Source organism: Homo sapiens, chromosome 7 (assembly GCF_000001405.40).
Source record: "Homo sapiens chromosome 7, GRCh38.p14 Primary Assembly".
Lineage (NCBI taxonomy): Eukaryota > Metazoa > Chordata > Mammalia > Primates > Hominidae > Homo > Homo sapiens.
This window is the reverse complement of record NC_000007.14, coordinates 47,760,592-47,779,360: the sequence shown is the minus strand read 5'-3', so window position 1 is coordinate 47,779,360 and position 18,769 is coordinate 47,760,592. Positions and strand designations below refer to the sequence as shown.

The window sequence follows — 18,769 nt, the reverse complement described above, 5'->3', positions numbered from 1 at the left end:
TTGAACAGCATCGTATCCCAGACAGAAATTGACAAAGGAAACTGAGTCTGCCAGTGGCTGCAAAAAGCTGTCCACACACACCACCTTGATAATTTGATCTCTGCTCTCAGGTGATGGGGCCTGCTTGATTAAAAACATGCAGCCATCTGACCTATTGGCAAGACATCTGCCATCAGCAGTGTCTGATTTCTTCCACTTTTGGATCCACATTTGCTGCTTAGCCTAAAAAATAAGTGGAAATGTCTGTGGCACTGGGCAGGGCACAGTGGTATGTTTTTGGCATTTTTCAGAGCAGATAAATTACTTGAGTGAAGGGTAGGAAAGAATATGTTTTCAAAGACTTGAGATTCTCTCCATAGGACAAGAACTTCTAGTTTAGTTACTAATATAACAACCTGTTAGCTGAATATCATTTTTTAAAAACGATATGATCGCCAGTGTCTGTTCTATGGGCACAATTCTTTCCAGAATAAAAAGTTCTGCCTTGCATTTGAAGTAAGTCCTGTTCAAGAACAGCACTGCCTTTGAGGTCAGTGGGAAGTCAGTGTCCAAGCCTGTTCCTCAGCATGCTGGGTCAGAGAAGACATTCATGTGCTAAAGGCCAGTCCTGAAATTCAAATTCTTATGAGACTAAGAAACTCATACAAAGATGAGGATGACTTTTAAAATCATAAGTCTCCTATATATCAGTAATACATAGTCTCATTTCAATTGCCCTTATCTCTATACTAGACTTAAGCACACTGGAAGTTGGTAAATCATAGGTCAAAGACCTTTACAGCAGATCAAATACAGGTGCATTATTGTTTGTAAGGGAAAATGTTTTCTTCATCTTCACCTGTTTGAGGGCTATAATACCTCCTTGATGAGCCACCAGGTCTGTATTATCTCCTCCATGTGACTCACTGGCGTTTCTTTATTCTAATCATGAGTGACTTCAACTGCTATTATTCTTTTGTTCTTTTGTTCCCTTCTGATGTTGAGCCATAACCTGCTCTGTAAACTCCACCAAATGGAAGGTCTTTGCCCCGGAGTCAAAATTAATCATTTAACCACTTCTCCACACGATAATCTCTCACACATGTGAGGAAGTGTTGTGTTCTTCCTCCTGCCTTGGCAGCCCTGGTGGTCTTCCTTCCCCAGCCTAAGCCCCATCAGCCCCCACCACCACCGTCCTCCCATGATGTGGCTTTGAGTCACCTCATCTGCTGGTTGGCTCCTTGTGATTCTCCTCTGGCCTTGTTTGTACTTCTTGTGTCTCCTCTTAATGATAAACAATAGTCCAGGAGTACCATGATTAGGAAAAATTTGTGCTATGCTAAATGTTGATGGCTACCAGCATCCATCTCTGTCTGTCCCTCACTGCCCAAGCTTTGTCCAGGCCCCAGCTACTGCCCAGGCACTGACGCCACCTCCCCTGCAGCTCCTCACAGCCCCTATAGAGAGCAATGTGTCCTGCTTCTGAACTTGCTCCTGAAGGCATCAGGCATGTGCCTTTTCATGCTCTTTTTTCTTTCCCAAGTGTGAGTGATACCTGGAGCAAGATTAGAAGCCTTGTGCTGAAGATGACAGAGCTGCCTTTCTAGGATGAGAACTGTGCCAACTTCCCCCTGCTTATGTGAAAAATAAACCTGGATCCTGTTTTGCTCTGAGGAATCTGGGGGCTCTTTGTTATAGCAGCAGCATGGCTTTTACCTAACTAATTTCTCACACTTCACACTTGCCTTAGAAACTATACTTACACTAATGCAGCCCCCAATTATATTATTATTTATAACCTTTGACAATAGTTTTGACTGTAAATGATGTAAAACATGACCCTAATTGACTGAAACTGCAAGGAAATGTGTTATCTACAAAACCAGAAGTTGAGAGGTAGGGCAGATGCCATCTCTGCATTCTGCTGTGTGCTGGCTTTGCCTCAGGATGGAGGACACCCTGCTTGGTTGCAGGATATCTGCTACAGGTCCAGGGATCACATCCAAAGATGAAATGTCCATGGAAGGAGGAGACCATCTCCTTCGGTCTTATCATTAGATATGAGGAAACTTTTTCAGGAAGTCCCCAAGAATATTTTCCCTCAAACTCATTCCTAAATTGATCATGGTGAAATGGAATTATCATGATTAATTTAGACTAATCATTTGGGATAGTCAGAATTTAAGTGTCAGCCGGGTGTGGTGGCTCGCGCCTGTAATCCCAGCACTTTGGGAGTCTGAAGTGGACGGATCACTTGAGGCTGGGATTTCCAGGCCGGCCTGGCCAACATGGCAAAACCCCATCTCTACTAAAAATACAAAAATTAGTTGAATGTGGTGGCGCATGCTTGTAATCCCAGCTACTCAGGAAGCTGAGGCGGGAGAATTGATTGAACCTGGGAGGCGGATGTTGCAGTGACCCAAGATTGCACCACTACACTCCAGCCTGTGTGACAGAGCAAGACTCCTTCTCAAAAAAAATAAATAAATAAATAAAAATAAAAAAGAATTTAAGTGTCAACCAGTAGGATCTTTGGAGGTCTCAACACCTCCCTACCCATCCTTAAATTTTATTGCGGAGCAATGTCTTTGCTCCTGTACCTTTCTCTCCATAATGGTGCTATTTATTGCGTGGTCATAAATACAGTTCATTATTATTCCTGTTAGACTTCCTATGTTTATCACAGCATTCCAGGTTGAATTGGATTCTGGTAACACTTATGTTCAACCTACCTCCCAGCTTCAAAACTGAATCCTATAATATTTACCAAATACCTACTACATTCTCAGCACTGGGGTATGAAGAAAAAAATTCCTCAGCCATCTCACAATCCAGTAAAAGCAAATGAGCAAACAGGTGTGGAGATGCGCTAGGCTTGGGGCCATGCTGAGTCAGCTGCTGGAGCAAATCAGGGTGCATCAGAGCTGGAGCTGAGAGACCTGGAGGAGAATTCCTCAAGGGAGAAGCAGCCAGTGACAATGGGGGACCCTGGGTTTTGTTTTTTTGTTACTGTTCTTGTAATGTCTTTATCTCATATTAGTATCAGGATAACGCTGTCCTCCTAGAATAAATTTGGAAATATTCTCTCTGCTTCAGTTTTCCGGATGGGTTTGACTAGAATTGGAACTATTTCTTTCTTAAATGTTTGATAGAATTCACCAGAGATGCCATCTAGAATTGAAGTTTTTTATTAGAAACTTTTTAACTATGAATTCAATTTTTAAAGAAGTATAGGACTATACAGCTTATCTATTTCTTTTTGAGATAACTTTGGTAATGTGTATCATTAAGGAATTTTTCTATTTCATCTCAGCTGTGAAATGTATAGGAATAAGTTGTTCATAATATTTCCATTTTATCCTTTATCTGTAAAAAGTGTAGTGTTGTCACCTCTCTCATTCCTGATATTGGCAATTTGTGTCTTTGTTGTTGTTGTTATTCAAAGACAACATATTTGTGTCTTTGATATGTTGTTATCATCCTGGCTAGAGGCTTGTCAATTTAATTGATCTTCTCAAGGAACTAGCTTTTGGTTTCATTCGTTTTCTCTATTTTTTTTTTTTTTCTGTTATCTACAGCACTGGTTTCTGCTTTGATCTTTAGTATTTATTTATTATTTACTTTTTTCTGTTTACTTTGAGTTTAAGTTGTTTTTCTTTTTATAGTCTTTCACATAAGAGCTAAGGTCATTTAAGACCTTTCTTCTTTTAATATAGGCATTTAGTGCTACAGATTTCTCTCGGAGTATTGCGTTAGCATTCATCCCTGAATGAAAATGATATGTTTTCATTTTTATTGAGATAAAAATACTTTCTAATTTCCCTTTTGATTTATTCTTTGATTCATGGGTGATTTGGAAGTATATTATTTAGTTTGTATGTATTTTGAGATTTTCCTGATGTCCTTATGTAGCTGATTTCTAATTTTATTCTGCTGTGGTCAGAGAACATCCTGTGTCTTGAATCGTTTGAATGTTATTGAAGCTTGTTTTAATGGCCCAAAATATGATCTAACTTGGCAGATGTTTCATTTGAACTTTAAAATATTTGTATTCTGCTGTTGTTGAGCAAAGTGTTCTGTAAATGTCACCTTGGTCAAGTTAGCTGATGGTGGTGTTCAGGTCTGATCAGCACTTGCTGCCTTTCTGCCTATTTGTTCTGTCAATCACTGAGAGAGGGGTGTTGTTTCAGTATGTTTTTCATTTTTTCTTTTTAGCCAGCAGACATCAAGGACTTCTGAGGAGCCTGGTACCTTGCATAGGCACTATGGACCCTGTTTTGCTTAACCCACCCAACAGCCAATTTTAGCAGACATCCTAGTTTTGCAGGTGAGAAGAGCTGAGGTACGAAGAAGTTTTGTTAATTTTTCCAGTTCACGTAACAAGTAAATGGGAAACCAGGATGAAAATCAAGGTTTATCTGTCATCAGACTGTTACTCATAATCACCATTCGGAGAGTTCAGATGTGGGACAAGATTCTAACTCCAGCCTTCTCCCAAATGGTTAATTTGCCAGTTGCCCTAGAGTTACATATTGTCTTATTTGTTTGTTTTACTGAATCTGTCTGAGTATTAAAAGCCTTGTATCTTGTGAAATTTCTTTCAGGTCTCATAAAAGCGATGAAAGAGACCAGGATAACATTCTAATATTTAAATAAGATTTTTGAAGTAAAATCCTTATTTTGTAAATTTAACAATTGAATCTTGCTAGATTAATAACGCATCTTTCCTGATTTACTAATTCAATATAAAATGGTTATTCAAACTGAACTTCGAAGTTATCTGGGCGGCTGTTTTGGAATCCATTTAAAAACCTACGTGCTCAGATCAGAATTTGCTAAGGAGATTATTAAGTTTGGAGTGCATGCTATATTTTTGGATTCTAAATAGTTTCAATATGCCTGGTTTGGCATGCATATCAGTGACAGTGGGTAGAAGTGGATGGATGGGATGGAGGTGCCTCCAGTGTCATGGAAACACACCGTGCTGTGGCCTCCCCGAAGGCCTGGGGCTGCACACTGGGAAAGGACAGGGGTAGGGGGTCTGGCAAGCAGACCTGGGAAAGATTTTTAGTGTAATCATTCGTTATGTAGAAACTGAGCAAGGGGCATGGCCATCTTAATCCACAATTAACTCATGGGCAAAATGGGAGTATAATGGAACCTGCCTCAAAGAGTTTGTGTAAAGCATGTAGCACAGTGCCTGATGACATATGGCATCTCTGTGTCATTGATTTGACCGAAGCTAATACGAATTCTCTGTGTGCGTTTATGTATTTGAGAATGTACAGGTCTCCTCAGGGAGTAGATTGTATGATTGGCAGGCTTTGCCTCATTTCCACATTGATGGACAGTGAGAGCGCATCCAGACTGGAGACCTCTGCATGAGCCAGGGCTGCCAGGTGGTTGGGTGGTTTGGAGAAGACTCTTCCCTTCCCCAGTGAAGTAATAAGGCATCACAACATACATCTTCATCCAGTTGTATCTTGTTTCATTCCATCAGCTATGCTTTGACAGACTCTTTTCATGGATTTTTTCATTCCAAATACTTTCATGGAGCACTCACCATGTTCAAGAGCTTTGAAAAATACAAAGAAAGCAAGACCCATGCCCCTTTTACAGGCAGCTGTTTTAGGAGGGGAAGCAGTAAGTCCAGCAGTGAGTTCTGTATAGGGAGGTAGAACGAATCCCAACAGAGGTGACACTGGCGGGCTGCTGCCTTTCCCATAGCACACAGAACGCAGGTTAGCAGGGTTAAGCATGCCCGAGGAGCTTCAAGAGTGGCTCTTCTCACATGCTCTGGGTGGTCTGGATGAGGAGGTGATGTATCATGGAGATCAGACAGTCTTAAAATGAGGCTGCGTTACAGAATGAGCCACTGTGAAAACCTTTGGGATAACTTTCACTTCTGCATACCTTAGGCCCACAATGGTGATGGTAATGAACATGGTGACAGCATCACATATAGGAGGTTACCTGAGCAAGGCACCCTGCTAGACTGCAGTATCAAGTTACCACAAACTTAGTGTTTAAAACACTAATGTGTCATCTTACAGTTCTGGAGGCCAGAAGTCTGAAGGAGTCTCACTGAACAAAAATCAAGCTGCCATGAGGGCAATGTTCCTTCTGAAAGCTCTAGGGCAGAGTCCATTTCTTTGCATTTTCTGGCCTCCAGAGGCCACCTGCAATTCTTGGCTCATGGCCCCTTCCTCCATCTTCAAGGCCAGCAGTGGTAGGTTGAGTCCTTCTCACATCCCATCACTCTGACACCAACTCTTGCCTCCTGCCTCCACTAATAAGGACCCTTGTGTTTACATTGGGCCTGCTGGATAATCTAGGATAATCTCTCATCTTAAGGTGGCTGACGAACAGCCTTAATTCCATCTGCAGCCTTATCCCCTTTGTTATGTAGGAAACGTAAGTACCAAGGGTCAGGCTGTGGAGGTCTGGGAGGAGCGATTGACCTGCCTCCCACAGAAGCCTCCCTCTTTTACAAGAGCTCTTCGGGGCACAGCTTTTACTAACCCCACTTCACAGGAAACAGAGGCTAGAGAGGGCAAGTGGCTGCTGTGGAAAGGGAAATGCCGTTATGTGCCAGTGCATCTTCTAAGGGCTACTGCTTCAGCTCATTCACTCTTCACCACTCTGTTATTATCATCCATTTCACAGATGAGTAAACTGAGGTCCAAGGGTGGTTAAGCACCTTGCCCAAGGTCACACAGGGAGTAAGTCACTGGCTAACTCTCCAACGCACAGTCCATGTGTGTCCTTACTGAGGCAAGTGGACCTGGGAGAAGGTTCTGTAGGGGAACATTATTAGGGAACCAACCCAAGGGGGAAGGCGTGAAAGGAACTGTCACACCAAATCTGGAGAAATGAGGATGTTATTGTATCAATTGCTGCATTTGCCCCCATTGGTCACGTTGATTTCTAGCAATGTTTGGGAATGACTGGTCACCCTGGCCATTTTAGAACTTCGGAATGTCACACATTTTTAGCAAGTAAAGTTGCATAGAGGTGGTAGAGGGGCTGAATGCATGTTTTTATACAGTTTGGGGCTCACATTGGGCTCAGAGAAACTAAGCTAATATGCAACTTCACAAAATAAACACAATTAACATTTTCCCATAGGCGTGAGAGGAGTTCATGAGATTGTTTGTATTAAAGTGATTTGTTAACTGTGAAATTCTGCACCGACAACCACTTTGTTTTTTCACCACACATCCAGGTCCTAGCAGCTCCTTGCTATAAGAGCCTGCTTAGAGGGGAGTGGCCTGGCCTCGAACCAGTGACAGCTAAATTCCTTCTGAAATCTATCCATTCCGTGCCTGCTCTGAACGTGCTTCTCCCATGGGCATTTCTCCACTTCTTTGATAAACTATTATTTCCTCAAAACAGTCTTTCATTCCATCCCATTGTGTAAAATATGTAATTAAATTCTATTCTTGCTGACCTTAGCTGTGTGACCCACCAGGGCACAGCCAGCTGATGCCACTGGGCTCCCTTCATCCAGTTTTAACCTGCGCCCTGAGAGTTTTCATCCTTTAGACCTGGGATCCTGTTTCCACACCACAGGGAGAAGAATGAGAAAAGCAGGGACATTTTCTAGGAATCTGGTTGTATAGTCACATATGAGACAAGTGGAAAAATTGCTTAAGGCTTTATTTTTGTTTTTATAAAAATACTTTCATTGTGAATAGGAGTGAGTTCTGTTTTTCTATTTCCCTTTCTACCTGGCCTCTCTCCATTGAAAACCTAAATCAAGACAGTGTATAAAGAAGGATGTCCAGACTACACAGTAGTTAATAAAAAGTCATGGAAAGAAAAACAAATGACCCCAGGAGGAAAATTAATCACTGAAGTTAAGCTGCTGATGGCCAAGATGAAGAAAAGACTGCGGCAGACACAGCCCTTGCTGTTAGAGAGCTCTCTAGTGGAAAACACACACTGGCTGCCATCACACCATTGGGCATGCACCCCTAGGCGCCGCCCAGGCTGCTTGGAACACTGCAGTGAATGAACAAATGTGGATTTCGGAGCTCACAGTCCAGCATTAATTTTGAAAAGGAGTTTCTCACATGACACCTTGTAGAAAGAACTCTGAACAAAATTTCAGGAAACTGATGTTATCTGGAAGTCATTCTCTTACCACAATGTGACCAATTAGATATACAAAAGGTAAAAAGATAATTTGAAAACAGTCATGTCACTGAAAATTTAAAATAACTCTGAAAAAACTCATGAATTACAGAGAAAAATCACAATGCAAACTAAAGTATATGATGCATCTCAATCAGTATTTAGAAGGAAAATTATATTTTAAATATGTTTATTTAAAACCAGGAAAGTTTAAAAATAAATAACTTAAAATGCAACTCAAGAACTTAGAGGAAGATAAATCAAACAAACATAAAGAACATAGAAATATGGCCAGCATGGCGCTCAGGCTTGTAATCCCAGCACTTTGGGAGGCTGAGGTGGGTGGATCACCTGAGGTCAGGGGTTCGAGACCAGCCTGGCCAACATGGTGAAACCCTGTCTCTACTAAAAATACAAAAATTAACTGGTGTAGTGGTGCATGCCTGTAGTCCCAGCTACTCAGGAGGCTGAGGCAGGAGAATCACTTGAACCTGGGCAGTGAAGGCTGCAATGAGCCGAGATCACGCCACTGCACTCTAGCCTGGGCAACAGAGCGAGACTCGATCTCAAACAACAAAACGCCATAGAAATATAAAACTTAAACATATAAGCACAAAAATGAAAAACAATGAAACAGTAGAGAAACTCAACAAAGTCAAAAGATGATTTTTTGAAAGAATGCTAAAGCAGATAGATTTCTAGCAGAGTTGATTTAGAAATAATGAGAAAAATAACAAAAAAAGCATAAAACAGCAAATTCAGACATCATAAAGATTAAAAAATTAGTAAGATAATCCTATGAACAACTTTATTTCAATACATTTGAAAACCTAAATGACATTTTCTAGAAAATATAAACAATTTGAGAAGGAAAATAGGAAATGTAAACCATAGACATTAAATATATAGAATTAGAAATCTAATGGTACTCAAAATTCCTAGAGCATTTTTACAAGCAAATTTTACCAGACATTCAAAAAACAGATCTCTTTATCTCGTACAAATTCTCCCAGAGAATTAAAAAAAGAGGTAAACTTTAGCAACTTGTTCTATGAAACTAGTATAATCTGGTTTTTTTAAAAACTTAAGAACATCATACAAAAATGAAAATGATAGACCCCTCTTACTAATAAACATAATCTCAAATATCTTAAAATACAAATCAAATTCAGCAGTGTATAAAACTAACATGTGATGACAAGTGGGGTTTTATCCTGAAGATGGAAATATGGCTTAACGTCAGAAAATATGTTAATGTAATCCACCACATTAAAGATTAAAGGAAGAAAAGTACTTGGCCGGGCGCAATGGGTTACGCCTGTAGTTCCAGCACTTTGGGAGGCTGAGGCGGGTGGATCACCTGAGGTCTGGAGTTTGAGACCAGTTTGGCCAACATGGTGAAACTCCATCTCTACTAAAAATACAAATATTAGCTGGGCTTGGTGGCCCACAACTGTAGTCTCAGCTACTTGGGAGGCTGAGGCAGGAGGATTGCTTGAACCCAGGAGGTGGAGGTTGCAGTGAGCCAAGATTGCACCACTGCACTCCAGCCTGGGAGACAGAGCGAGACTCCATCTCAATAAATAAATAAATAAGTACTTCATAAAATTCAACATTATTTCATAATAAAACCTGTGCAAGGAAACCAAGGTGGCTATCCTCCAAAATCATTAGCAGACATCATACTGAATGGTACAATCTTGGAAGCATTCCTAGGAAAACAGAGGACAGGACATGGATGTCTGCTATTTCCGCATGTATCCTGTAGGTTGAAAACCAATGTAATAAAAAAAAATGCAATCAACCAGTAAGATAAAGCCAATGGAATAAGGTGCAGAAAGGATAAGAAGAGAAGACGAAGAAACCAAACAAACAGTCCTCAGTTGCAGACGACATACTTGCCTACCTTCCTCCCCAAATCAAGACAGTCAACTAAGAAAGCATCTTAGAAGATCGACATAAAAAATGAGTACTATTCCTATACACCAACAATTAGAAAATGCAAAAGGAAAAGATCTTATTCACTGTGGGGGAACAACAACAAAAAGAAAATTATGAGTGTACCTAGTAAATCTAGGAAAACATGTACATATCTTTCATTTAAAAAAAAAACCCAATGTTTACTGAAAAACTTTAAACCTGAATAGAAAGACGTCCCATATTTATGGATGGTGTTCATGTCAAATGAATGTATAAATTCAATGCATTTCCAATCAAAATTCCAATGCAGGTCTATGTGAAACTTGGTACATTGATCATAAAATTCAAATGGGAAAAGAAAGGGCCAAGAATAGCTAAGATAATTTTTATAATGATAGCAAAATGGAAAGACTTAGATCTCAACTCAGTGCAACTATTACCAAAAAAGATTTTATCCTTCCCAATGGAAAATTTTGCTTTTTCATTCATTCATTCATTCATTCATCCATTTATTTGTCATGTTTTAAAACTCTACTGTGTCCCAGGCTCTATTCTTGGCTTTGAGAATAGATCAAACAACAAAACCAACAAAATGCCTACCCTCAGGGTGCTTACATTCTAGCACATGGGTCAAGTAATAAAAAGAACACGCTACAATCGTGGACAGTGGTGAATGTTATGAAGAAAAATTAAGTGAATTAGGGAGGGCTCTATTTTAAATAGGGCTCTGTTCTTCTTTAAAGGGAAGGCCCCTCTTGATAATGTGATGTTTGAACAGAAACCTTGAATGAGGTTCAAGCAAGCTGTACAGCTCTCTGGGGGAAGAGAAATAGCAGGAAGAAGAAACAGCAAATGCAAAGGCCTGAACTGGGAACACAGTCATTGTGCGAGGAATCACAAGTGTTTCTGGAACACAGCAAGAGAGAGAGAAAGCGCAGTAGAAAATGAGGTGCAAACTGCAACCAGCAACCAGGATATAGGAGGTCTTATAGACACAGTAAGACTGCAAATGTTATTCTGAATGTGAGCAGGGAAGAGCACGATCAAATGTATTTTTAAAGACATAACTTGGCCTGGCGAGGTGGCTCACGCTTGTAATCCCAGTACTTTGGGAGGCCTAGGCGGGTGGATCACCTGAGGTCAGAAGTTCGAAACCAGCCTGACCAAGATGAAGAAATCCTGTCTTTACTAAAACTACAAAAATTAGCCGGTCGTGGTAGTGCATGCCTGTAATCCCAGCTACTCGGGAGGCTGAGGCAGGAGAATCACTTGAACCCAGGAGGTGGAGGTTGCAGTAAGATGAGATTGTGCCATTGCACACCAGCGTGGACAACAAAAGTGAAACTCCTTCTCAAAAAAAAGAGAAAAGAAAAAAGACATAACTCTGTTGCTGTGTAGACAAAAAACTGTAGGGGAGCAAGAGATGAAGGGGTAAACTAATTAGGAGGCCATAGAGTAGTCCAGGCAAAAGGTGGCAGTGGTTTGGCCCTGAGTGGCAGTGTTGGAGGGGATGATGAATGGGCTGGCTTCAGAAAGTCTGTTTTAAGGTAGAGCTGTCAGGATTTGCTAATGGACTGGATGTCAGGCACAAGAGAGTCTGGATAGCCCCAAGGTTTTCAGCCTGAGCAACTGGCAAGGTGATATATGATACGACGGAATGAATATTTTACATGTCCGCAGGGAAGGAAGGAGCATCCACCGAAAGTTGATGAGACAACTGGTTGTCCACATGTAAAAATAAATTAGATTCATACCTCACCCTGCATAAGAGGTTAAGTTCCCCATGTATTGATGACCTAAATGAAAAATGCAAAACTTTCATATTTTTTTCTTTTTCTTTTTTGTCTTTCTTTTCTTTTTTTTTTTTTTTTTTTTTTTTTGAGACGGAGTTTTACTCTTGTTGCCTAGACTGGAGTGCAGTGGCACTATCTTGGCTCACTGCAACCAGCACTTCCTGGGTTCGAGCAATTCTGCCTCAGCCTCCGGAGTAGTTGGGATTACAGATGCCCGCCACCATGCCCACTAATTTTGTATTTTTAGTAGAGACGGGGTTTCACCATATTGGTCAGGCTGGCCTCAAACTCCTGACCTCAGGTGATCCACCTGCTTCGGCCTCCCACAGTGCTGGGATTACAGGAGTGAGCCACCGCACCTGGCGTAAGTTTTATATTTTAAAAAGAAAAATAAGGCACTTTGGGAGGCTGAGGCAGGTAGATCATGAGGTCAGGAGATTGAGACCACCCTGGCCAACATGGTGAAACCCCATCTCTACTAAAAATACAAAATTAGCCAGGTAGGGTGTCGTGTGCCTGTGGTCCCAGCTACTCAGGAGGCTGAGGCAGGAGAGTCACTTCAACCTGGGAGGCAGAGGCTGCAGTGAGCCGAGATCACGCCACTGCACTCCAGCCTGGGCAACAGAGCGAGACTCTGTCTCAAAATAAATAAATAAATAAATAAATAAATAAATAAATAAATAAATAAAGAATAATAATTATGGCCTTATTTATAAGTAGGACAGGGTTTCTTAAACAAGATGCAAAAGCAAAATCAAAATAATTAAAAATAAATAAACTTTATTATTTAAAGCTTATAAAATGTTCTCTGAAACAAAAACCCAAAAACAAATTGAGAAGACAAGCCACACAGTGAAAGGAGATATTATTAATGCATATAAATGACAAAGAATTAGTACACAGGATATACCAAAAACACCAAAAAAATCAATTTGAAAAGGACACACCTACAAGAAAAGGCAAAATATATGAAAAGGCCAAGGACCGAAGAGGAAATTGAACGATCAGTCCAACAAATGACAATTGCTCAAACTCATCAGTAATCAAGGACACACATAATGAATAGCCTGCATCATCGTTTGATACTTATCAGCTTAGCACAAATGAAAGTGTCTGACAACGCAAGAGTTAGTCAGGAAAAGAAGACGCAAGAAAATTCCTATATGCGACTGGGAATTGTCAGTTCCTGAAATCACTGAGGGAAATAATTTGGCAAGAAGCAAATCTGCTTCGTGGATGTACGGTGCAAGGAGACAAATTGCAGTGTTGTTTATACATGTGTAAGAGCTAACACTTGGAAACTTTTGGAAGAAACAGTCCTCCACAGGCTTCCTGTTCTCCTACAGGTCTTACTGGGTGCACCAAGACTATAAAGCCTTGACTCTTCTTTACTGGATCCATTTTTCGGGGTCGTAGTTGCAGGGAGGAACCTCAAAGGAGAGGGCTTGCCTGCTGCCTGCTATAGGTCCACATGGTGCCCAGCTCAGTGGTCCTCTACTGTGACTTGACCCAATGCATGTGCGGGAGTCATAGGGTCTCTGCATCACCCCGTGGGCATCAGGGCTTGAGGCACCAGTGCAAATACACTGACACTGGCCATTGCTTTAGCTGTGACAAATAAATGAAGTCTTCTGTCTCTGATTCAGAAATCTTAAGTCTTCTGCCAGCATCCATGAAACTGGGGCAGCAGCCTCACTTGTGAATCTGTAAGTAGTGAGTGAAATGTCAGCCTCTTCACAGTTCTTGACAGAAGCCACCCAAATATCCATTATCATCATCATGATTAAATTGTATGATTCATGTGAAATGGAGACAGAGCAGGGATCCCTTTGAGGGGCCTGCCACTCTTCCCAACCAAGCATGGAAATAAAGAAAAATCTTGAGTTCCTTTGAGGGAAATTCCGGGCACCTAGCTAGCCCTGAGGAGTAAGTGAGCAACCTGATAAGCAAGGAGGTAACAATAGCTGAAGACAATAGCCGAGGAAGTTAGAGCCACCAAATGTTTGGTTCCCCATAGAAACTAAAGACAACATCTTAATATATATCCCTGAGTTGTTTTCAAAAAACCTGGACTCCCACCAAATGGAAAATGACATCTGCTGGCACATAGACCTTAGATAACAGAGGAACTGGGGACTGAACTCTGACTGCCATTTTTTGTTCTGAATTTCTTCCTGAGTGGCCTGGAGGAAGTCATGCCTACAGGTCGGAGCTCAGCATTCCTTTCTGTGGACCCCTAGGCTTTAGACAAAGTTTCACTCCCTTAACCAATTCGCAAATCAGAAAATCTTTGAATCTACCCATGACCTGTGCCTCGCCCCACACTTCAAGATATCCCACCTTTTTTGGCCAAACCAATGTAAGACCTCCATGTATTGATTTATGACTTTGCATGTAACTTCTGCCTTCCCACCTTTAAAAACCCTTACACTCAAGCCATTCGGGAGTTTAGGTCCTAGGCGAGAGCTATCCGGTTCTCCTTGCTTGGTGCCCTGTTATAAATGCCTCACTTTTTTCACTGCAAATCCCACTGTCAGTGTTTGGCTTTGCTGTGCCAGGATGGGTGGACCCAAGTTCGGTTTGGTAACAATAAAATGCAATACACTAGTTAAATGGATGTAGCTACATCTGTTGGCATTATCAAATTGCAAAAACATAATGTTCAGTGAAAAAAGCTTGTTAGAGACTGATGTAATCAACAAAAGTTCAATACTTTGCTATATATAGTTTATGGAGCCATTCATCTGTAGCATTAATGTAGCGTCATTCTGGGGATGAAAAACATCAGTTTAAGGACAGGGTGGGAAGCATGGAGAGGCTTCCATGATCCTTGTGTGTGTTGTTTCTTAAGGAAAAAGAGCTGATGAAAATCTGCCAAAATGTTACAGTTTTGTGTGTGAGAATATAGGCGTTCATTATGTTGTTTTTATGCTTTTCTGGATATTTGCAGTCAACCATAATTTCAGAATATCAGTGATGGTGGCGCTTCCCATTTTGTACCATCAATCTGTCTAAGATTCACAGAATTACCTCACATTTCCCTTTAAATATGAATCTTCGTTCTCACAGTTGGAGGCTTAATGTTTCCAAAGGTATAAATGTGGTTTTTTGTTTTTGTTTTTTTGAGACGGAGTCTCGCTCTGTCACCAGGCTAAAATGCAGTGGCGCGATCTCAACTGACTGACTCTGAACTCGGGGTTCAAGAGATTCTCCTGCCTCAGCCTCCCAAGTAGCTGGGACTACAGTCATGCGCCACCATGCCCAGCTAATTTTTTTATTTTTAGTAGAGACGGGGTTTCGCCATGTTGGCCAGGATGGTCTAGATCTCTTGACCTCATGATCCTCCTGCCTCAGCCTCCCAAAGTGCTGGGATTACAGGCGTGAGCCACCATGCCCGGACAAATATGTGTTTTTGTAGGTGGAAACTTCTCTCAAATTAAAACATCCTCTATACCAGAAACCTGGGGAAAAAACATCATTAGTTGGCCTGACAGGAAATCAGGCAGTTTTGTTTTTTTTAAACAAAAAAAAAAAACATTAAAGTCCTAATGTGGAGGCAGAGAAAAACCCATGCTGCTCACTGTCTGTGGCCTGATGCCTCCATCTCTTTCTGCGGGACCTTTGTCCCAGGTCTCCCTCTCCTGACCTAGATGAATGAATGAAATGAACTAATGTGTACACAGACTCTGTGTACATATGGCTTTGATTTGGGAGAAAAGATGAATCACTCTGAGCTGGTAATCTGATCTTTGCCCTTCTGCTAGTAAACAGTTGAAAGATAACTCAATACATTCTCCGTCTGCCTTTTAAAACCAGAATAGCAAATAAAGGCCCTAGAGGGGCCTGGTTTGGATGGGGGAAGCCATTTATCACCTTCAGGGAAAAGAGAATGTAAATAGGTCCACATTTATTCTCCGGTCCTCCCGTGGCCACGACAGCCTTAGAAATACTCACCTTGTTTCAGTTAGCAGGCCAAGGGTCAGCGGTCAACAGAGCTGCTCCAGCAAGCTCTGTGTGGTGCCTCAAACAGGCCACACAAAGAGATGCTGTTTAAAATCGGAATTCCTTTCACCCTGAGTAAGTTTCCAAAGCAAAGGGGTCACCCGGTGAGTGTTGGTGCAGTCCTCACTGTTTGTCCTGCCTCTTGCTACAGAGGACATCTGGCAAAAGCAGATCAGAAAATGAAAGAAGTCTGTCCCAGTTCTGCCCTCCCCAGGTGGTAGAATTTCTCATGCGATTGTTGCTTGGGGTGTGTCACTCTGTACTTGAGTAGGTGGAGGGTGAACAGACTGATCAGCTGGCTATGAGATGAGAGCAGGATGATGATCATTCACTGGGATGTGTCTGGCCAACTGGGAAGAGTCAGGTAGCTCAAGGCCTGGAGATTCTCATCAGGGAGAGCACAATGGGGCCAGGCCTATAGCTGAGGTCCAGGCACAGAGGCTGGGCTATGAGAACCAGTGTCCTCAGTGACTGCGACAATGACATGTCCTCTGTCACCACCTGCTACCGTGAGGCCCCAGCCCCGGCTGACCTGTAGACTCAGATCTGGGCCTGAGAGGGAGGCTTGACTTCAGCCCCTCTCATGAACAGAATCCACAGCACCAGGGCTGAGAGTGGTGGCAGGGCCCAGGAACAGTGATATCCAGTAGAATAAGTGTGACCCACCCCAGCCCCCCACAAACCAGAGGGAGTGCTGAGCACCTCCGCCCAGCCTCAGGCAGCTGACTTCACTAAAGGAGGCCAAAAGGAAAGAAAAATGTGACAAGTGTGTTTTGATGGCTGATGCGCAGGCTCCCAGAGAACCTTCAGAAATCAGGTGGGAGTTGGAAAGATTTTTGAATTGTCCTCCTGCAATAGCATGTTGAAGAAAAACTAGCTAAATATACTTTATGTGTAATTCCATGTCCATATGCATGATTTCTTAGGTGGCAACCAAAGGCAAGGAGTTCCTGTGCAAATGGTATTGCCAATATTAAGGTTCTCAATACAGTATATATTTTGTTGTATTCATTTGCTAGGGCTGCCAGAACAAAGTTCCACAAATTGGTTGCCTTAAACAACAAAAATGCATTGTCTCACAATTTCTGGAGGACAGAAGTCTAAGATCAAGGTGTTGGCAGTGTTGTTCCTTCTAAAGGCTGAAGGAGAATCTGTTGCAGGCCTCTCTCCTTGGCTTGAGGACAACCATCTTCTCTCTGTGTCTCTTCCCATCATCTTCCCTCCAGGCATGTCTGGGTCCAAATTTCCCCTTTTTATTATTTTTTATGTATTTATTAATTTTTTTTTTGAGATGGAGTTTCACTCTTGTTGCCCAGCCTGGAGTGCAATGGCGCAATCTCGGCTCACTGCAACCTCTGCCTCCCGGGTTCAAGCGATTCTGCTGCCTTAGCCTCCCAAGTAGCTGGGATTACAGGTGCCTGCCACCATGCCCAGCTATTTTTTTTTCTTGTATTTTTAGTAGAGATAGGGTTTCTCCATGTTGGCCAGACTGGTCTTGAACTCCTGACCTCAGGTGATCCACCCACCTCGGCCTCCCAAAGTGCTGGGATTACAGGCATGAGCCACCATGCCCAGCCAAATCTCCTCTTCTTTATAAGGACACCGGTCATATTGGATGAGTCATATTGGATTACATGCCCACTCTACTCTAGTATAACCTCATTTTAATTTGATCACATTTTCAAAAACCCTGTTTCCAAATGCAGTTGCATTCTGAGGTACTAGGGGTTAGGACTTGGACATAGACATTTTGGGGGACACAATTCAACCCTTATTTGCCAAATCACTTTTTAGAATGATTAAGGCAATTAATGATCTTCTTAAAGTGAAGAAACAACCCACAGAATGGGAGAAAATATTTGCAAACTACCCATCTGACAAGGAATTAATAACCAGAATATATAAGGAGCTCAAACAACTCAACAGGAAAACATCTAGTAATCCAATCAGAAATCAAAATCTAGTAATCCAAATAAAAAATCAGAAATGAATAGATATTTCTCAAAAGAAGACTTACAAATGGCAAACAGGCATATGAAAAGGTGGTCATCGTCACTGATCATCAGAGAAATGCAAATCAAAACTACAATGAGATATCTCACCCCAGTTAAAATGGCTTTTATCCAAAAGACAGGCAATAACAAATGCTGGTGAGGATGTGGAGAAAAGGGAACACTAGTATATTGTTAGTGGGAATGTAAATTAGTACAACCACTATGGAGAACAGTTGGGAGGTTCCTCAAAAAACTAAAAATAGAACTAGCATATGATCCAGCAATCCCAGTGCTGGGTCTATACCCAAAAGGAAGGAAATCAGTATATTGAAGAGATATCTGCACTCCCATGTTTGTTGCAGCACTGTTCACAATAGCTAAGACTTAGAAGCAAATTTACAGTCCATCAACAGATGAACAGATAAAGAAAATGTGGTACATATACACAATGGAGTACTATTCAGCCATAAAAAGAATGAGATCCTGTCATTTGCAACAACATGGATGGAACGAAACTGGAGGACATTATGTTAAGTGAAATAAGCCAGGCACAGAAAGACAAACATCACATGTTCTCACTTATTTGTGGGATCTAAAAATCGAAACCATTGAAATCATGGACATAGAGAATAGGAAGGATGATTACCAGAGGCTGAAAAGGATAGTAGAGGACTGGGGAGATAAGGTGGGAATGGTTCATGGGTACCAAAAAAAAAAATAGAAGAATGAATAATACCTACTATTTGATAGCACGACAGGGAGACTATAGTCAATAATAATTTAAGTGTACATTTTAAAATAATTAAAAGTATAATTGGATTGTTTATACCACAAAGAATAAATGCTTGAGGGTATGGATACCCCATTCTTCATGATGTGCCTATTTCACATTGCATGCCTGTATTAAAACATCCCACGTACCCCATAAATATATACCCCTACTGT

General features: G+C 41.5%; 1 protein-coding gene and 1 long non-coding RNA gene across 3 annotated transcripts in view, besides 1 other annotated feature; one reads left to right on the top strand and one right to left on the bottom strand.

The window, feature by feature from the left end:
- PKD1L1 (polycystin 1 like 1, transient receptor potential channel interacting) overlaps positions 1-4,747 on the top strand; it is a 186,293-nt gene extending 181,546 nt beyond the window's left edge. For both annotated transcript variants that reach the window (XM_017011798.3, NM_138295.5), the window contains one exon: positions 4,195-4,747. In XM_017011798.3, coding sequence (XP_016867287.1) covers positions 4,195-4,218 — 24 coding nt within the window. In that variant the 3' untranslated portion in view covers positions 4,219-4,747. The remainder of the gene's footprint in view (positions 1-4,194) is intronic.
- Positions 7,696-7,990: a silencer, noted in NCBI's record as "tiled region #6862; K562 Repressive non-DNase unmatched - State 23:Low". NCBI's record gives its function as "represses a minimal TATA promoter and a strong SV40 promoter by Sharpr-MPRA in K562 cells {active_cell/tissue: K562}" and the evidence as "EXISTENCE:reporter gene assay evidence [ECO:0000049][PMID:27701403]".
- On the bottom strand, positions 12,589-17,885 carry LINC00525 (long intergenic non-protein coding RNA 525). Its single transcript, NR_038407.1, has 3 exons — positions 17,848-17,885; positions 15,783-15,988; positions 12,589-13,532 (listed from the first exon to the last, which is right to left on the bottom strand). It is a non-coding gene; the product is annotated as a long intergenic non-protein coding RNA 525 (long non-coding RNA).
- Between the last annotated feature and the right edge of the window lie 884 nt (positions 17,886-18,769).